The sequence below is a fragment of the Homo sapiens genome, chromosome 10 (assembly GCF_000001405.40).
Source record: "Homo sapiens chromosome 10, GRCh38.p14 Primary Assembly".
NCBI classification, from domain to species: domain Eukaryota; kingdom Metazoa; phylum Chordata; class Mammalia; order Primates; family Hominidae; genus Homo; species Homo sapiens.
The window spans coordinates 127,536,617-127,554,134 of NC_000010.11; the positions used below are offsets into that span (position 1 = coordinate 127,536,617).

Consider the following 17,518-nt stretch of genomic DNA (forward strand, 5'->3'; position numbering starts at 1 on the left):
TAATGACACAAAATTATTTTAGCTGGGAGATCAGGATCATTCTGTAGGCCAAAGCAGAAGCTTCCAGTAGATAAAGTTTCAAGTGCCTGGTATTTATGTGTCCATGAATACAACCCTAATAAAAGACTGTAAAGTTTAAAGGGGTATGTAGTTGGAAGATAACTATGGTACTCATAAAAACTCGGTAGTAGAATCTATGGATGAGAGGTCTGAAACCTTGCAAAAACAAAAAAAGAGAGAGCGAGAGATGAGGACAGAGGTGGAAAACAGAACATAGCCAGCAGGTTTGTCCTGAGAGATGGGATTCACTGGCATCACTGAGGCCTGGAGCACTGCCTCCAGGGAAGGGGCTTTGAAGCTAGCAGCCCCCGAGGGGCCTGAAGATTGTTGTTATGTTGTTTCTGAGCCTTTTGGCTCTGGAGGCCAGACAAAATTCTGTCTGGGATGCGAGAAGGTGAGGGCTGATGGGGGCTGGCTGGGCCTCCCTGTCCAGGCCAGCGTTGCTCCCTGCCCCGTCACCTGCTATCTGCATTGCCATGCTTAGGGAGATCATTCTGGAAGCTGTCTCTGGAGCAGGAAGGAGGGAAGCAGGAAGGGGAGGCAGCGCTGGGCCCCTGGAGCTGGTGGCTCCGCAGGCTCCGGTTCTTCCTCTGGCACAGCTGTGTGGGGTCACGCTCTGGCTGGGGCATCGTGAGAGTGACCTGGATGTCTAAGCCGGACTCCAGATGATGCCTGGGTGTCCACATCTATGAGCAGGGATGAGAACAGCCCCTGCTTCCCATCACCATGGGGAGGATGCAGTACAGAAGTGAGTGTGAAGCAACCACACGGCGCCCGGCACACACGGCTGTCTTCCCCAGTCATCTTAGTCTAATCTCTGAGAGGCACAGAAGGAAGAGGAAGGTTCTGTACCTTCCAGCGGGACGCCGCACCTGGCTCAGTTCTGCCCCTCTGCCTGGCCCACAGATGTCTTGAGAGGCCGTTCATGATCCTGGCTTCCCCTTCTCCACGGTGGGACCTTTACATCCCCTTGGCTTCTCCAACGTTGTGATGCCCACCAGGCGAGGGGCTGCAGTTTCCTCCTGTGGCCATGTCTCCCATTCTTCCTCCTCATTTCTGCCCCTTACATCTGTGGCACCCTCTTCTCCCTCAACCCCATTGCCACCCTTAATCAATCTACCTTGTCCCCTAACTCTGGCTCTACTCAGCCATGACACTCACCTGAAGCATCCTGGGCACGTCCTCATGGCTACCCTAGGTTACCTCTGAAGACTCTTGGACACCCATTGCCAACTCCCAGGGGCTGTTTCCAGTGCTGCTGTCTTTGCTGGAGAAAATATGTAACACACTTATGCGATGTATCCCACAAAGGTGACTCTGGTCTCCCCAGACTTTCACGGCAGTTTGGCCTCCTCACCCATGTCGAGCCTGGCCCCCACCATGGCTGGAAGAGAGTGGGGGTGGGTGATGGGTGGCACATCAGGCAGGCAAGGGAAGGGAGGAGGAAGAAGACAATCCCTGTTGCTCTCATCGTTTAGGCTTCCTCTTCGTCCACCCTGTGGCTGGTGAGAACAGGGCACGGCCCCGAGAGAAGCTCTAAAAGTACTTGTTGCATAAATAAACACACACTTTCTCTAGAGTAAAACTGAACATATGATCTCCCTTGTGAAACAAAACTTTGCCATAATCCTTTTGCTGTTTACGATGCACTCATTCTCTTCTCTTTATTTCATTAATGAATTCATTTGACAAATGACTATTGAGATATTTCTGTTCTGGTCTGCAGAATAAAGCAGTGAACAAGATGGTAAACTACCTGTTTCTGGTTGGAATAGGGCAGGATACCAAAAATAAACAAACAGAAGAAATGAAGACATCAATGATGAGGGTGAAGTGTTGTGGGGCAGGAGAGCATGAGGGGTGGGTGACTGGGAGCACTTCAGGTGGAAAGGGACTGAGTTGACATTTGGTGGGGGCAGGTTTTTGAGTGGCTGCAGTGAGCTGGTGATAAAGATCTCCTCATCACACCCACACATCCAATTAGTAACAGTGTCAGTTTGCTCCTGTGCCCATCTCATTGCCACCGCCCTGGTCCACGGCCCCATATGCTCACCTGGGTTCCTACCACAGCCTGTAGGGTGGGCCCTCTGCTCAGTCGCTGACCCTCCCATCCCACTTGCTTCTGGCAGAGCGCGCTTCCAAAACACAGATCTGTTCTGGCCCCGCCCCTGCTTACGGCCCTTTTTGGCCTCTGTGGCCCTCAGAATCAAGTCCAGATGCTCTGGCCTGGCGCATATGCACGATGGGGACCTGCTGGGGCCACCCAAATCGGCCCTTGCAGCAGTGAGACTGAGCCACATGCAGGTCCTCAGATCACTGTGGGCTCCGTCCCTGCCCTGGCTGTAGCACATGCTGCTCCTGCCCCCTCCTGTGTTCTGCTCCACCCCAGTCTCACCCTGACATTCCCATATCTCCTGCTTTTACCCCTCTTTGGTGTTTGCTTATCACTGCACCCCAGAACCTCATCCAGTCCCTGGCACGTAGAGGACCCTCACTGGTTCTTTGAGAAATGCATAAATTCAGTGTTGGTTCCTGCGAAGAGTCTTCCTTGAAAATGCTTTCAGGAGGCTGTGCTGTCCCTGGCAGGGCAAGGTGCTTTGTAGCAGGATTTTCCCCTCTTATGGTGGTTCTTTAGAAAGGCCATTACTTGGCTATGCCTGTAATCTCAGCACTTTGGGAGGCTGAGGCGGGTGAATCACGAGGTCAGGAGATAGATACCATCCTGGTTAACATGGTGAAACCCCATCTCTACTAAAAATACAAAAAAAAAAAAAAAAGCCAGGCATGGTGGCACGGGCCTGTAGTCCCAGCTACTCGAGAGGCTGAGCAGAAGAATCGCTGGAACCAGGGAGGCAGAGGTTGCAATGAGCCAAGATGATGCCACTGCCTTCAGCCTGGGCGACAGAGCAAGACTTCGTCAAAAAAAAAAAAAAAAAAAAGGCTATTGCAAGATCCAGGCATATACATAGTAAACCATAGATACCACATCAATGATTGATGGGAATTTACTAAACAGAATGCCATTTAGGATACGATGAAATCATGCCTAGTGTAACATCTGCCTTCTTAAAAACAAATTCAGAGTATCATTAAAAAAAAAAGTACAAGAAAAATAAGACCATATGTAGAAGTTTGTAACTAAGAACATATGTCAGTGAAAAGAAAACCTAATAGCATATTTTATTACTAATTGTTTAAATCAATATGTAATACATAAGCCTTTTGTCCCAAATGCTGTTGCCTTCCATAGCATCTAAAAATAAATACCATCTTTCATTGAATCTAAGACTCCATCAATCATAAGATGAGCTGTTATTTTATGTTCAGCACTGCCCCGCTCATTCACCCTCCTATTCTTTTCTGCCTGCTTCTGGCAGCCAGATCATTCTTCCAAAACACAGATCTGATTAGGCCCAATCCCTGCTTGTGGCCCTTTGGTGGCTTCTGGGGTCCTCAGAATTAAGTCCAGATGCTGTGGCCTGGCACCCATGCCCTGCACTGTGGGAATCCTCTGTGTCCTCCCACTCGGCCCTTGTGGCAGTGAGACCCAGCCATCTGCAGGTCCTCAGATCGCCATGCGCCCCTTTCCTTATTTTATGCACTATCAATAAAGAAAAATATGCTGCCAATTAACTGTGACCCCTGATTGTAAAGCATTATGACTGCCCTGCCTCTTCACCTCCACCAGGAGAGTCTGAACATAGAGTTTCTCTCTAGAATAGTGGTTCTCAACTGGGGGTGCTTTTGCTTCCCCCTTGCCCGAGGGGATGTGGGCAACGTCTAGAGACATTTTCACTTGTCACAACTGGGGTACTGGTGGTACTGGCATCTCGTGGGTAGAGCTCAGGGTTGCTGCCAAATCTCCTCCAATGCACAGGGCAACTTTCAACAACCGAGAGTCATCAGCCCAAAATGCCAGTAGCACCAGTGTTGAGAAATGGTGCTCTAGAACGTACAAGAATTGCTTGCACATCTCCTCCAATGCACAGGGCAACTTTCAACAACCAAGAGTCATCAGCCCAAAATGCCAGTAGCACCAGTGTTGAGAAACGGTGCTCTAGAACGTACAAGAATTGCTTGCACTTTTTGTATTCTGCTGCCATGAGTACTATCATCTTCTGGATTTTCTTTGCTTTTTTTTCTGTAGAGCATTGATCTTAAGCACTGGGCCCATTCAGAATGCATATATGAAAACTCTAACAAAGCATTTTAGGAGCCTCCGTGAGTTGGAGCCATGATTTATTTCAATAAATTAAACTAAGCTCTGCACAAGCCTTTATTTCTCCCACTCTAGTATAAAACCAGAAAATGCACTTAGACACATTCTGCATTTTAATTATACTTTCAGAGGATATAACAGTTGTATGAATTAAGAAGCAGTAAAATTAAATCGATTTTTCCATACATGCAGAAAGATGCAGGACTTAATGTGCATTATAATTAGGGACAATGAAATCAATTGTAGAATTTGTTTCAAAGTCACTAAAACCCTAAATTATATTGAACTGCCAACCTCTTCCAGCTTGTCACTTGTTTCCTTAAAATCAGTCTAACACCTGTTTAAGTCCTGCTTTTGGCAAGCTGCTAAACCCAGTAGCAATAAAGCTGGCCCTTGTAAGAAGTTTTTTGGTATGACAACAGGAAACTCTGGGAATAAGAAAAGGCCTCCTCTGATATTTTCAGTCCAAAATATGCCTGATTTGACGTACTGAACTTCTGAGGGGTGATTCAGAAAGTGTCTCAAACACTTTAGCATTGACAAATGAGAAGCAAAAGTCAAAAACAAAAAGGAAAGAAAGAAAGAAAGAAATTGCTCACTCTTGGTCTCACACTGATGTTAGGAGGAAACGTGTGAAGAGGGCTTGGGTGACTCTAAGACAGTTACCTCATGACAAAGAAGAGGGTCAACGTTCCATGAGAAGTCTGGCAAATTCCAGGATGGAGCTGGGTGCTGACCTTCGCTTTTGGTGTGGACAGTTGGTCTTTGCACATTCTAATTGCACCCTAAATACTCATTGTAGACATCACACATCAGAAGTAGCACCAAGAGATGGTCCAGTGCCAGGCAAACCCTCATGATCTTGTACCAGACAGAATCCTTTTGAGGTTCCTGACACTCCGTTCCCATTTCTACCCTCCATCGTGTGTGACAGGTAGTCACCTATGATTTTAAACATCCAGAGCACAGTTTTCTTTCTCTCCTCCCCACAATTAAAACCTGGTTGAAAGAAATATCTTGCATTAGTCATTTGCAGCAGAGGGTGACGCTGCTGATGGTTGGGACGTTCTGATCCTAGACCCTAATTAGAGTGGTGAAAGTCTCTGCTTCTCATTGAGGAAGCCAAGCCTCTATTAATGATTTGGGAAGGAAGCTGAGATGCTGAGGTCTTGGCCTTGCCTCAGAAGTCAGGGCCATTTACGTAACCTGAGCCCCATCCCTGCTCTCTCCCAAAGGTATGCACAGCTGCTTCCTGGGTGCTGCTTTTAATAAGCTCAGAATTAAAAAGCAAATCCTGCTATTTGAGCCTTCACTGAGTGCTCCAGGAAGACAAGAGATAGGGGTCGAGGGCATCTTGTTCACTCCAAGTCCCCTGCATCTGGCACAGGTCCTAGTATGTGGGTGATGACCAAACAATATGGATCCAATGAGTAAATGGTAGACTGAACGCCTCTTGAGCTAAACATTGTGATTGATTCACATGGCATAGGTTACTTTCAAAGGCAGGAGGTGTTCCTGTGGGCAGGCCCAGGCCTTGAAAACTTAATTTTATTATTTATTTATTTATTTATTTATTTATTTATTTATTTATTTATTTGTATTTTGGTAGGTCTTTGGGGAACAGGTGGTGTTTGGTTACATGAATAAGTTCTTCAGTGGTGATTTCTGAGATTTTGGTGCACCCATCACTTAAGCAGTGTACAGCTGCTTCCTGTGCACTCAGTGTGTAGTCTTGTACCCTTCACTTTGTCCCAAACTTTCCCTCAAGTCCTCAAAGTCCATTGTATCATTCTTATGCCTTTGCATCCTCATAGCTTAGCTCCCACTTATAAGTGAGAAAATACGATGTTTGGTTTTCCATTCCTGAGTTACTTCACTTAGAATAATGGTCTCCAATTCCATCCAGGTGGCTGCAAATGCCATTATTTCTATCCTTTTTATGGTTGGGTTATATATATATGGTTGGGTTTTATATATATATATATATATATATATATATATATATATCTCACATTTTCTTTATCCATGTGTTTATTGATGGGCATTTGGGCTGGTTTCATATTCTTGCAATTACAAATTGTGCTGCTATAAACATACGTGTGTAAATATCTTATTCATATATTGACTTCCTTTCCTCTGGGTAGATACCCAGGAGTGGGATTGCTGGATCAAACGGTAGTTCTACTTTTAGTTCTTTAAGGAGTCTCCACACTGTTTTCACTGTGGTAGTACTAGTTCACATTCCCACCAACACTGTAAAAGTGTTCCCTTTTCACCACACCGATGCCAACATCTATTATGTTTTGATTTTGGCCATTCTTGCAGGAGTACAGTGGAATCGCATTGTAGTTTTGATTTGCATTTCCCTGATTATTAGTGATATTGAGTATTTTTTCACATGCTTCTTGGCCATTTGTGGGTCTTCTTTTGAGAATTGTCTATTCATGCCCTTAGCCCACTTTTTGATGGGATTGTTTGGTTTTTTTTCTTGCTTATTTGTTTGAGTTTCTTGTAGATTTTGGATATTATTCCTTTGTCAGATATACAGATTGCAAAGATTTTCTCCCATGCTGTGGGTTGTCTGTTTACTCTACTGATAATTTCTTTTGCTGTGCAGAAGCGTTTTAGTTTAATTAAGTCCAATCTATTTATCTTTGTTTTTGTGGCATTTGCTTTTGGGTTCTTGGTCATGAAGTCTTTGCTTAAGCTAATGTCTAGAAGGGTTTTTCTAATGTTATCTTCTAGAATTTTTATGGTTTCAGGTCTTAGATTTACGTCTTTGATCCATCTTGAGTTGATTTTTTGTATATGGTGAGAGATAAGAATCTAGTTTCCTTTCTCTACATGTGGGTTGCCAATTACACCAGTGAAAACTTAATTTTAAGTCGTTTCTACTCTGTAATCTTTATTACTATGTATGAGGGGTGATCATTCTTTGGTCAGTGGTCAGTGTTAGGAGAGAGGTTCCTAACCCTATTCATGATGCCAAGTGTTTGTGTTTGGGGAAGGAAGGCCAGTGGGATTACATTTGAGGAGGAGCTGCATTCAAGACTTTCAGTGATTGTTTACTGAACACCTACTGTACCAGTCTTCTGCTACCAATAGTCCCCAAAACTCAGTGACTTAACAACAGCCATTTATCATGGCTCCTGAATCTGCATGCTGGGGTGGCTGATCTAGGTTGGCCTGTCTGGGCAGCTCTTCTCCATGAGTTTCTTGTCTTCCTGGGATCAGCAACCTGACATGGGCATGTTCTTCTCAGGGCAATAACAGACGTGCAAGAGAGCAAGTGCCTTTCATACCTTTTGTAGCATTATGTCTGGCTGAGATCTATACACTAAAACAAGTTACGTGGCCATCCTCAAAGTGGAAGGGTGGGAAAGTACACTCTGCATGGAGAGGGGAGACAGGAGGGAGTGAATATGTCTGAACAAGGATCTCATCTATCAGCCCAAATACATGCCAGAAATATCCCATTAGCCTCATTCATGATAAGACTTTGTACTCTTTGCTCCCTTTATGAACCTTGTCCTATGAATGAGTGAATGCATGGATGCTGTGAGGACGATGGCAGAGGTGAGAAGAGCTGTCATCTGTCCAGCTTCCATCTGCCTGGGGGTGAGATGATTTGGATTGGTTATAGGTGTATGTCTAAACCAGAAGTTGTTATCTTGGAGGGAGGCCCATTATTATTATTTTGTATTCAGCCTGGGGTATGTTAGTCAAATTTTTTCAGTTACAATCACTAGTTTGTATAAAGGGAGTGTGGGAGCTGGTGTATGTAAATGGGGAATCGAAGGAGAGAAATCAGTTTCAAGCATGGTTGGAGCCAAAAGTTTAAACAATATCATCACCTCTCATTTTCTCTCTCTCTATCTCTGTTTCTCTCTCTCTGTGTCTCTCTTTCTCTCTCCTTCTCTGTCTCTCTCTCTCTCTATGTCTTCATCTTTCCCTTTCCCCCTCCATCCTTCCAACTCTCTCTACTTCTCTCTCTACCTCTTTCTCTCCACCTCTCCATTTCCTTCTCTCTCCCAACCTCTCCATTTGTCTCTCTCCCCCTCCATATCTCTCTTGCCTCCTCTCCCTCTCTCTCTTTCTCTTCCTCTCCATCTCTCCCTCTCTCTCTCCCCCTCTTCATCTATCTCTCTCTCTCTCCCTCTTGCTCCCCTCCCTCCTTTTCCCTCTCCTCTCCATCTCTCAGTTCTGGCTTCTGGTGTACGCTTCCTTATCAGGCAGGCTTTCTCAATGCAGTTGTACAGGTGCTTTCTGGCATCTCCAGGCATACCTAGTCCATAATGATGTAATTTTTCAAAGCTTTAGTTTCATTGCAGTTAATGGTGCACCATATTTAAGGAATCAAATCTTTCTAAGGGGCATTTTTACAAAAACAGCAGTCTCTGCTTCTTGTTCAGTTTCCTCCCCCGGAGTCATCACTTTCAAACTTTTAAGCTGATTACCTTACTATTCTTTCTAAATTATATAGTACATTTTGATTTTTAATTTTTCATCATGTCTTGAATTCCTTCTATAGAAGTTAGGCAATTCACCTCACCACAGAAATATACCCTTCCCTAAACCCAGCTCCCACTATAGTTAAATTATTCTATTGTTAGATTATTATTTGGTAATGACATTATTATAACCATGTAAATACTACTACAAGCTGAGTCAAGTGGTTAACTGTGAAATACACACTTCTTTTTTGTGTATAATACTGTTTCATTGGAGTGAATACATGTTCCTCTTTTTTCTTTTCTTTTGCTTAGTTTTCTATAGATTTATCACTAATTCATTCCCAAGTTCTCTAATTTTCTGATTCTCCACTCAAGACGTTCAGACATTCTATGGCTTTCATACTTCTGCAGAAGTGTCTCCCAGAGTTTTCTAACCCACAGCAATATGGATCTGTTGCCCTCTAGGTCTTGTGTGCACTTCTCATTGGAGATCTTTCTTTGCTGTCATCCTGAAGTTTTTCTTTTGTTTCCTGTATTCATGGCCTGTTTATGTGTATCTCATGTTTTTCTCTTTATTGGTTTATGTACTTATTTTGTTGGAGTACATCCTGAAGTAGCTTCCTGAGAAAGGGTTGGGGGAAGTATAATTTTGAGATCTTACATATTTGAAAATATTTATTATAGTATTAATGGAGAGTAATACATTCTGGTTATTCTTGAATCATTGGGAATAAATTCTTGATTAAAAATATTTTTTTTCTCCAGGGTTTTGAAGACATTGTTCCATTGTCTTCTAAGCTCCCAGGGTTATTTTTAAGAAGTCCAAAGTGTTTCTGACTTCTGAGACTCTGTAGGTCATCTGGAAGCTGGTAGGATCCAATTTGCTGAAATTTTATGAGATGTACCTTGGTTTGGGTTGAATGTTATTCATTGTGCTGGAAACTTGATTAGTCCTTTCCATCTGGAAAGTCACAGCCTTGTGTTATGGGACATGATACTGATTTTTTTTTTATTGATAATTCCTTCCCCCCTCATTTTTCTATTCTTGTTTGTAGAATTCTTTTGTTTCTGTGTTGGACCTGTTAAACTATTCTTATTTTTTTATTATCTTAATTTTCTCTCATTTTTTTTTCTCTGATATCTGGGAGATTTATTTAACCTTATCTTTTAATTCTTCTAAGGTTTTAAAAATCATTTTATTTTTTCATGAGCTTTTTCATGAGTCCTCAATGTTTCTCTTTTATAGCTTTCTTTTCTTATTTGTAGATACAATATCTCAGTATCTTCCCTTTTCGTGAACAATATTAAGGTGTTTCTTTTTAAGGTTTTCTTCTCCTATGTTTTCTCTTACTTCCTTTGAGTTATTTTTTTCTGCATGTTTTGGTCTCCATTTTTCATGATAAATTACTATGGCTATGGAGTTCTTATCTTCTTTGTTTTTGTTAGATTATGACTTCATAAATATCCTTCATTCATTTTAGTGTGTCTCTGGGTTGTCTGCTTAAAAGTGGACACTAAAAAGCCCATGGCAGGATTTTGTGTGTTATTGGGAATTGTCAACTGTGGACTTCTGTGTACTGCAGTTGGCTGAGATATTTTTACTAGAAATCTTAACGTCTGTATCTGTAGATTTTTCCTCTTGGGCCTCTCATAGGAGGATCTTCCATTGACTTGTCTTGAAGTTTAAGACCTGTCTGGCAGTGTGCTGAGAGTTGTGTCAAGGAAGAGATCCATGAGTCTTGGCATTGAGTGTAATCCTTATTCAATCTTTGTTTTTAGAAAGATACTCTTTCATTTCACTATACCTGATTCCTTCTCTTTACCTTCTCCTTAGAATAAACCTTTCTGACTAGATGCAGTGGCTCACACCTGTAACCCCAACTCTTCGGTAGGCCAACGCAGGAGGATCGTCGCTTGAGTCCAGGAGTTTGAGTTCGAGACCAGCCTGGACAACACAGTGAGACTCTGTCTCTACAAAAAAATTAAAAAATTAGCTGAGTATGATGGCGCATGGTCCTAGCTACTTGGAGGCTGAGGCGGGAAAATCACTTGAACCTAGGAGGTTAAGGCTGCAGTGGGCCATCATCATGCCACTGCACTTCAGCCTGGGCAACAGAGGGAGATCCTGTCTCAAAAATAAAAAATAAAAATAATAAACCTGTCATCTCCTGCCAATTCTAGAGAGTAGACAGTGTCTGGCAATGGGAAGTTGGGAGAGGATGTGCTATTGATTGAGTTGATTCTTAAACAAATTTCCACTTAACCCTCCATTTTGGTACCATCTTCACTACATGCAAAAATAACTTGAGTCTTTTGGGGGTATTTCAGTAAGCACCTTTCTCAGATCCACTTGATCAATTGTTTATCACTTAATAAAATCCTTCTGCATTCTTTTTGGGTTCCTGCGTGTGTGTGTGTGTGTGTGTGTGTGTGTGTTTTAGCTAAAACAACCAAAAGTAAATATGTGTGTTCAGTCCCTTTGTGCTCTTAGGCCCTTTGTCTCCTAATATCCACACTATGTCCCATAAGAACACTGATCAAAGTAGTTTGGATCACTTCCTCAGCCCCTCAACTTGGCTCTAATCTTGTGAGCTTGGTTCTCTTGAGAGTCCAGGTCATCTGCTTTTCCTTGTGATGGCAAACTGTGACTGTATGATTGACAGCTACATAAAAATCATGCAAATGGCAGTTCCCCAAAGAAAGAAATGCAGTGCCAACAAATTGGCAGCAACTGTCCCAGACACAGGGCAGCTTTGTCCTCCAAAAGGTGCTGATCTCGAGGAGGCACGGATTATCCTTGGTTGCTTTGTATTCAAAAACTGTTGGCATCATCTCAGAAACACTAGTTATCCAAGCAGAAAGCACCTCCCTTGGTGTTTTTCTCCATTGTAAGCCTCAGCAACATCTGTTCATACTTAGAGCTCCTGAATCCATTTATTAATGCAGATGCCCATTGAAGTGCAAGGACAGCAAAGGCTGCCTGAAGAAATTCCATACCCTGGGGAGAAAAAGGAAGCCATGAAAAGCAGGCTCTCCCAGAACTGTGGGCCTGGGACTTTGGGAGCCCGTGGGACTTTTGGGAGTACATGGCATGGACAGGGGATACACAGTGTCCTTCCTTTATTTCGATGACTAGCGGAAAAGGTGTGACATTTATTTTCCTGCTTTAACTGCTGAAGTCCTAAAGGAAAGAAATCTAAGGTAGAAAATGTAAATAATCTGCATGAGTTGTTTGGGTAAATGTGTTTTTTTGTTTGTTTTTGTTTTGTTTTGTTTTGTTTTGAGTCAGAGTCTGGCTCTGTCACCCAGGCTGGAGTGCAGTGGGGCAATCTCGGCTCACTGCCACCTCTGCCTCCCGGGTTCCAGCGATTCTCCTGCCTCCTGCCTCAGCCTCCCAAGTAGCTGGATTACAGGTGTGCACTACCACGCCTGGCTAATTTTTGTATGTTTAGTGGAGATAGGGTTTCACCATGTTGGCCAGGCTGGTCTCAAACTCCTGACCTCAGGTGATCCACCTGCCTCGGCCTCCCAAAGTGCTAGGATTACAGGTGTGAGCCACCGTGCCCAGCTGGGTAGATGTTCTTTATTCCTGTAAGTATTTCTTTTGTGTTAGTTTCTGAAACATAATGTCTGGGACATTCAAGGAAAGAATGTCATCCTTCTTAAAGGTTTAAATTCTAAGCTAAAAAAACCTTTTGTTTCCTTTTGAGACCTCTGGCCACCCATGCCACAATGATTCAGTCTCGAAGACAATGGTTTTGAAGGACATTCTTAATGGCAAACTTTAAATGAAGTCGATCATTGGCAGCTCAATGACAATGCCCATATGTTATGTCCTTTTCTTCTTAACAAGAACAAAAGGCCACAGACAGAACAATTAGTCATATAGGAGGGATGAGATGACATTTTTACTCCCGAACTTTTCTGGTATAAAAGGGCCACCCAATGAGGGTCTGAGAGTAAGTGTGAGAAATTTGGCAATAAAACCACCTATCTTTACAGATTTTGGGAAGTCCAAAATGATTAGGTAAAAGGCTACGTTTTTCTGCAAAGAAAAATGTTGCATTTTCATATGCTGTTTTACTTATTCTTGCCTACTTGAGACTAAATCTTGATTGTACTTTTTTTCTACTTTGCAGCTCAGTAAAACTCAATCTCATCCTAGTTCTGTCGCTGTCCACAATGCATGTGTTTTGGTGTTATCCAGTTCCATCTTCTAAGGTAAGGATTTGCCTCCGTTGTGGATATTTAAATAGATGACTAGAATGGTAAATTATGTAAATTCCAAATACTTTCAAGGAATATGTGACAGAAAAGTAATTTCCTTTATTATTAGAGTTCTCAATGGGAAAAAGTCAGCAGATTGATGACATTAGTAAAAGAAAATATTAGTGTGACAAGTAACACTGGACTATATTCAAATTTGTTTTGAATTATTTAGGGTTGGCTCCTGCAAAGGGAAATATTCATCTCAATCTAAAGTAATTTTTTTGCCAATGGCAATTTATTTATTCCACATGCATTCATTCATAATCAAAGTGAACACTTAACCATGGAAACTATATTAAAAATAAAGTGGTCATTTTTCAAAAACAGTTTAATTTTTTCAGATGCAGAATATAGATAAAACGTTAGCTCTAAATAAAATATCACATAAAATATTAATTCATATATTTATTAGAGAATATTGATTGAACTCCTACGTTCATTGAACTGTTCAAGACATTCAGAAAATAAATATCTTTCTTTGGAATATTTAATATTATTTCTACATAATATTTCAGTTGCCTTTATGTCAATATTTTGTTTATAATTTTAAAATATCTTTTGTCATTGACGGCATTTTGAACTTGAACTTTTTTTCACTAAAACGTAACCTGTCACATTATAATGACTGAAATCAATGTGATTTATGAAACTACTTTTAGGATAAAGGGATGTCGCATAAATCCTAAGTGATAAATATATGTCTGAACATAATGATCTAGTTATTTATATTATTGGCCTTTTCACTAATCTTTGCATCTGTCATTTTTCTATTTCTTGTTTATTTAATATAGCTTCTTTTTTTTGGTTTCCTCCTATGAGCATTCAACACTAATTTAGTCATCAATTCTATAAGACACCACATTGATCAAGCTGATGAGTCACAATCCATATACTGGTATATTTTCTCAAGTGTCTTCCTAATTACTTTCTGTTCTTTCCCCAAAGGTTTACTCATGACATTTCTGTTGAATAACAGGCTCTTCTCTGTAGCTTTTTTAAAAGAAATTAAGAATGTACTTTGTTCTAAAATACTTATGAGACTTCCTTGTCCATAAATGAAATGTTTCTCCTTTCACTGCATTTTCCTTATTTCTATTTTTGCACGTGACAGTTTTGTTCTTGTTATTACCTAGTTCCGTAGTAAGAGTGTGGATGCTATTCATGCCAATTTGATTGCTTAGGGTGAATGATTATGCAGGCAGACGACACATAGGCTTTTATAATATTTGTTGCGAACTTCACTGAGTCCATTAACCAGGCAAATATACAATCTTATTATGTTAATGAGTCTGCCCTGGCAAGGGCTGCCTTCGACGATCAGCAAAGTGCATCAGTGTCTTTTTAGGGATGTTTCAGGAATCTCATAACCAGAACTGATACATTCCTTTTGCAGTATAAAGGTGGCATCATGAGTATTTCTGGAAAGAACTGGCTTGCTTCCCTTCCTGCAATGACTCAGAGGCCCTTCCCTGCTGGGGATTTTAAATAGAAGGCGTTCTCTCTATCATGTTTAGATTTCCTCTGTTAGCACACGGAAAAATACATAGTGGATGTCCGACTAAGAGTGTTTGATTGGTTTTCTCATGACCAATATTTCTGAAACTCTCTGACCAAACTCTCTGAGATGAAAAAGGGGGGAAAAAGCCCATTTTTTTTCCCCAGAGGCCAGTGGGAATGATTTGTCTGGGTTGCACTGAATCTTCAGTAAACCACCCACGCGTGGGTGAAGAATTACAGGGAACGCTTTATGCACTCTGGCCCCGTTTCGACTTCCATACAGTAACCTGAGACCACACTTGTTTTCCTGCACCAAGATAGAAAAAAAAGTATGAGTTTTACCTTGTAGTATGTCTCTTTATTGATAATAAAAGCACTCAGTTTCCTTTTCCTCTTGTAGTTCTAGTATAGTTGAGAAACCTAAACTTAGAGTCAGATGCCTTGAAAATAATAGTATCTACTTCACAGAGTTTTGTTTAGGAGTAGGACAAGATGATGCCCATAATGCAAGCAGCACACAGATCATGGGTAAATCTGTGCTTTGCATTATTGGTGAAATTTGTATTAGCATCTTATCAGTGTGTTATAATTCCTCTGAAACCATGCAAGAGGGAAAACACAACAAGTGTTGATGATTCGTACCCAAGCCCTGGGTCAGAGCTGCCTCTTGGAATCTCCAGCCCTGTCACATGGGGCATGCACCTTTGGTCTTGTACTTAGTTTTTTTATCTGCAAAATATGGGGTTGAACTTCAGGTTCCTGAAGGCCAGTTTGAACTCTAAGATTGCAGATCTGTTTCTTCCACCACTAAGCACCCTACACTCTCCTACATTATCCAGCCTCGAGCCAGTGATGAGGACCTGAACTAAAGTCAGAAGTTGAAGATGCCATTGTTCAAGTATCAAGACATCCTTATGGGGAAACTTGGCAAATGGCCCAGGACAGGCCCCAGGAGAAAAGTGGTTCTGATTGACACCTAGAGTCTGATCCTTATGGGTTGTTTTTCTAAGTGAATTTCAAAAACAATTCCCAGGGCTAATTAGTGCTGCTTGAAATATTCTTTTTAAAATAACAGCAACAAGATAACTTATGTGTAGTGCATGATGTAAATACGGAATAGCAGCAAGTATATAAGTAGTGTAAAAATTAGACAAGTGGGTAGATCACCCCAAATAATATTTTGTATCTAGATAAAGTAGATATTGTGTTTTAGCAAAACTTCTGCCTTTAAGATGATTGATATATTGGATTTATCGCCATACGATTTTGAAAATTGTTACTGTTGAAATATACTTTTAACCCTAAGGCTGTATTCTCTTTCTCCTCACCCATCTGAATTGCCAGGTGTCTGGAAAATCTGATTACTTTCTCATTCTGCTGAACAGCTGCCCAACCAGATTGGACAGGAGCAAAGAACTAGCTTTTCTAAAGCCAATTTTGGAGAAGATGTTTGTGAAAAGGTCCTTTCGCAATGGAGTTGGCACAGGGATGAAAAAAACTTCCTTTCAAAGAGCAAAATCATGACTAAGTGTGCAAAGGACTCGGGGAATTAATCTAACTGTAGAGTGTGACTGACGTACTCAAAGTCCATCGTCTCTTTATCATTGAGTGTTGGCATGCTCTCTATTCTCAAATATCTTTCCTCTCCTGACTGGTACAGAGTAAATTGAGTAAAAAAAGAAAAAAAATGTAAACATGTCTCAAACCTGTCTCAAACTTCCACTTGTGAGAGAAAAAACAATTTATGTGGTCCATTAGTAACTTTTTCCTGAATGGGATGGACACTTTTGCTTTGCTTTTAACTTGGCCAGAAAGCATGAGCATGTTGACAGTCATCACGATAGTATGATTTTTTTTTTCCTGCCTGTAATATCATAACACGAATACTGTGATATTTGTTTTTCTTTTTAATACCGTTTTCTCAAATGACTTAACAGGCTCAATTCTTGGGGTGGGGGGATGTGCTATTTCTGTTTCTAAGGGGCTTGTGAAGTTAACCAAAATTAAGGTGAATGGTACAGCTGTATCAATTGATTAATTAATTGATACCAAGAACAAACATCCCTGGAGCACTCTAGATGTAATTCTTGTCTCCCTTTTCCTATTCCAAATATACTTAGCTATAGGGTGTTGTTTTGTTGTCTTGTCTTGGAAATTTGTTGCCTTTTAAAATCTTTAAGCACAGAAATGCTGCCAGTAACAACAACAACAGAGAGACTGAGAGTGCCCTGTGTTGTCAGGGCAGCCATTTGGAAACCTGTTCCCCAAACTATGCTGATTAATGCCCTCTCCTTTCCCCCATCCTTCCAGGAAAGACTGCCCACTCTTTGCACTGAAACTCCTGACACTCCTTTTTTAAAAGGATAATGCGACATTGGTTGACGTGTTATTTCAAATGCATAATGTTAATAAATCTGTTCACGCATATTGGATTCTGCAGCACACTAAGGGTGTTCGCTGTAAGCCACACACAGCTCCTAGACTGGGGGCAGCGGAAGCCTTAGGATGACCTGTCCTTAGTCATCAGCTTCAGATAGAAACACATCAGAAAACAGTACTCATGGTGAGCTGGTCTCACAGTAATCAGCTAGGTTCACACAAACAAATCGGTTTCTACACAAAGCAGTCTTTACACATGCCATATTGTTGGTGATGTGCCAAGTGCCCACCGAAAGAAACAGAGGCCCCTAAAGGTCTTCTGTGATTTGTTGCTGACTTCTATGAAAACAAGTGGTTTCATGGTTGTGGTGTATGCTTATTCTGCTCTTGTTACACAGATTCATCCTAAGTATTGGGGGATGAAGTAACATAGATCATGCAAATACAAGTTATGGGAAGCAGCATTTATTTTAAGGATCAGGGAACTTCAGGGAAACACATTTTGGGAAGCACAGAGGAGCTTGGTAGAAGTAGAAGCCATCAGGCAGCATCCCTGCCCTCCGGGGTCCTTTGCGCCCTTCTAGCTACGTTTTCTTCCCTGCAAACCGGATGGTCTGCAAGACCTTTGTTTCTGCTCTCC

At 41.6% G+C, this 17,518-nt stretch overlaps 1 protein-coding gene across 1 annotated transcript; it reads left to right on the forward strand.

The window, feature by feature from the left end:
* Positions 1–12,692: 12,692 nt before the first annotated feature.
* On the forward strand, positions 12,693–16,924 carry NPS (neuropeptide S). Its single transcript, NM_001030013.2, has 3 exons — positions 12,693–12,760; positions 12,873–12,954; positions 15,844–16,924. Exons 1-3 carry the CDS (start codon positions 12,753–12,755, stop codon positions 16,021–16,023), a joined length of 270 nt encoding a protein of 89 aa, NP_001025184.1. The 5' UTR covers positions 12,693–12,752; the 3' UTR covers positions 16,024–16,924.
* Positions 16,925–17,518: the final 594 nt, after the last annotated feature.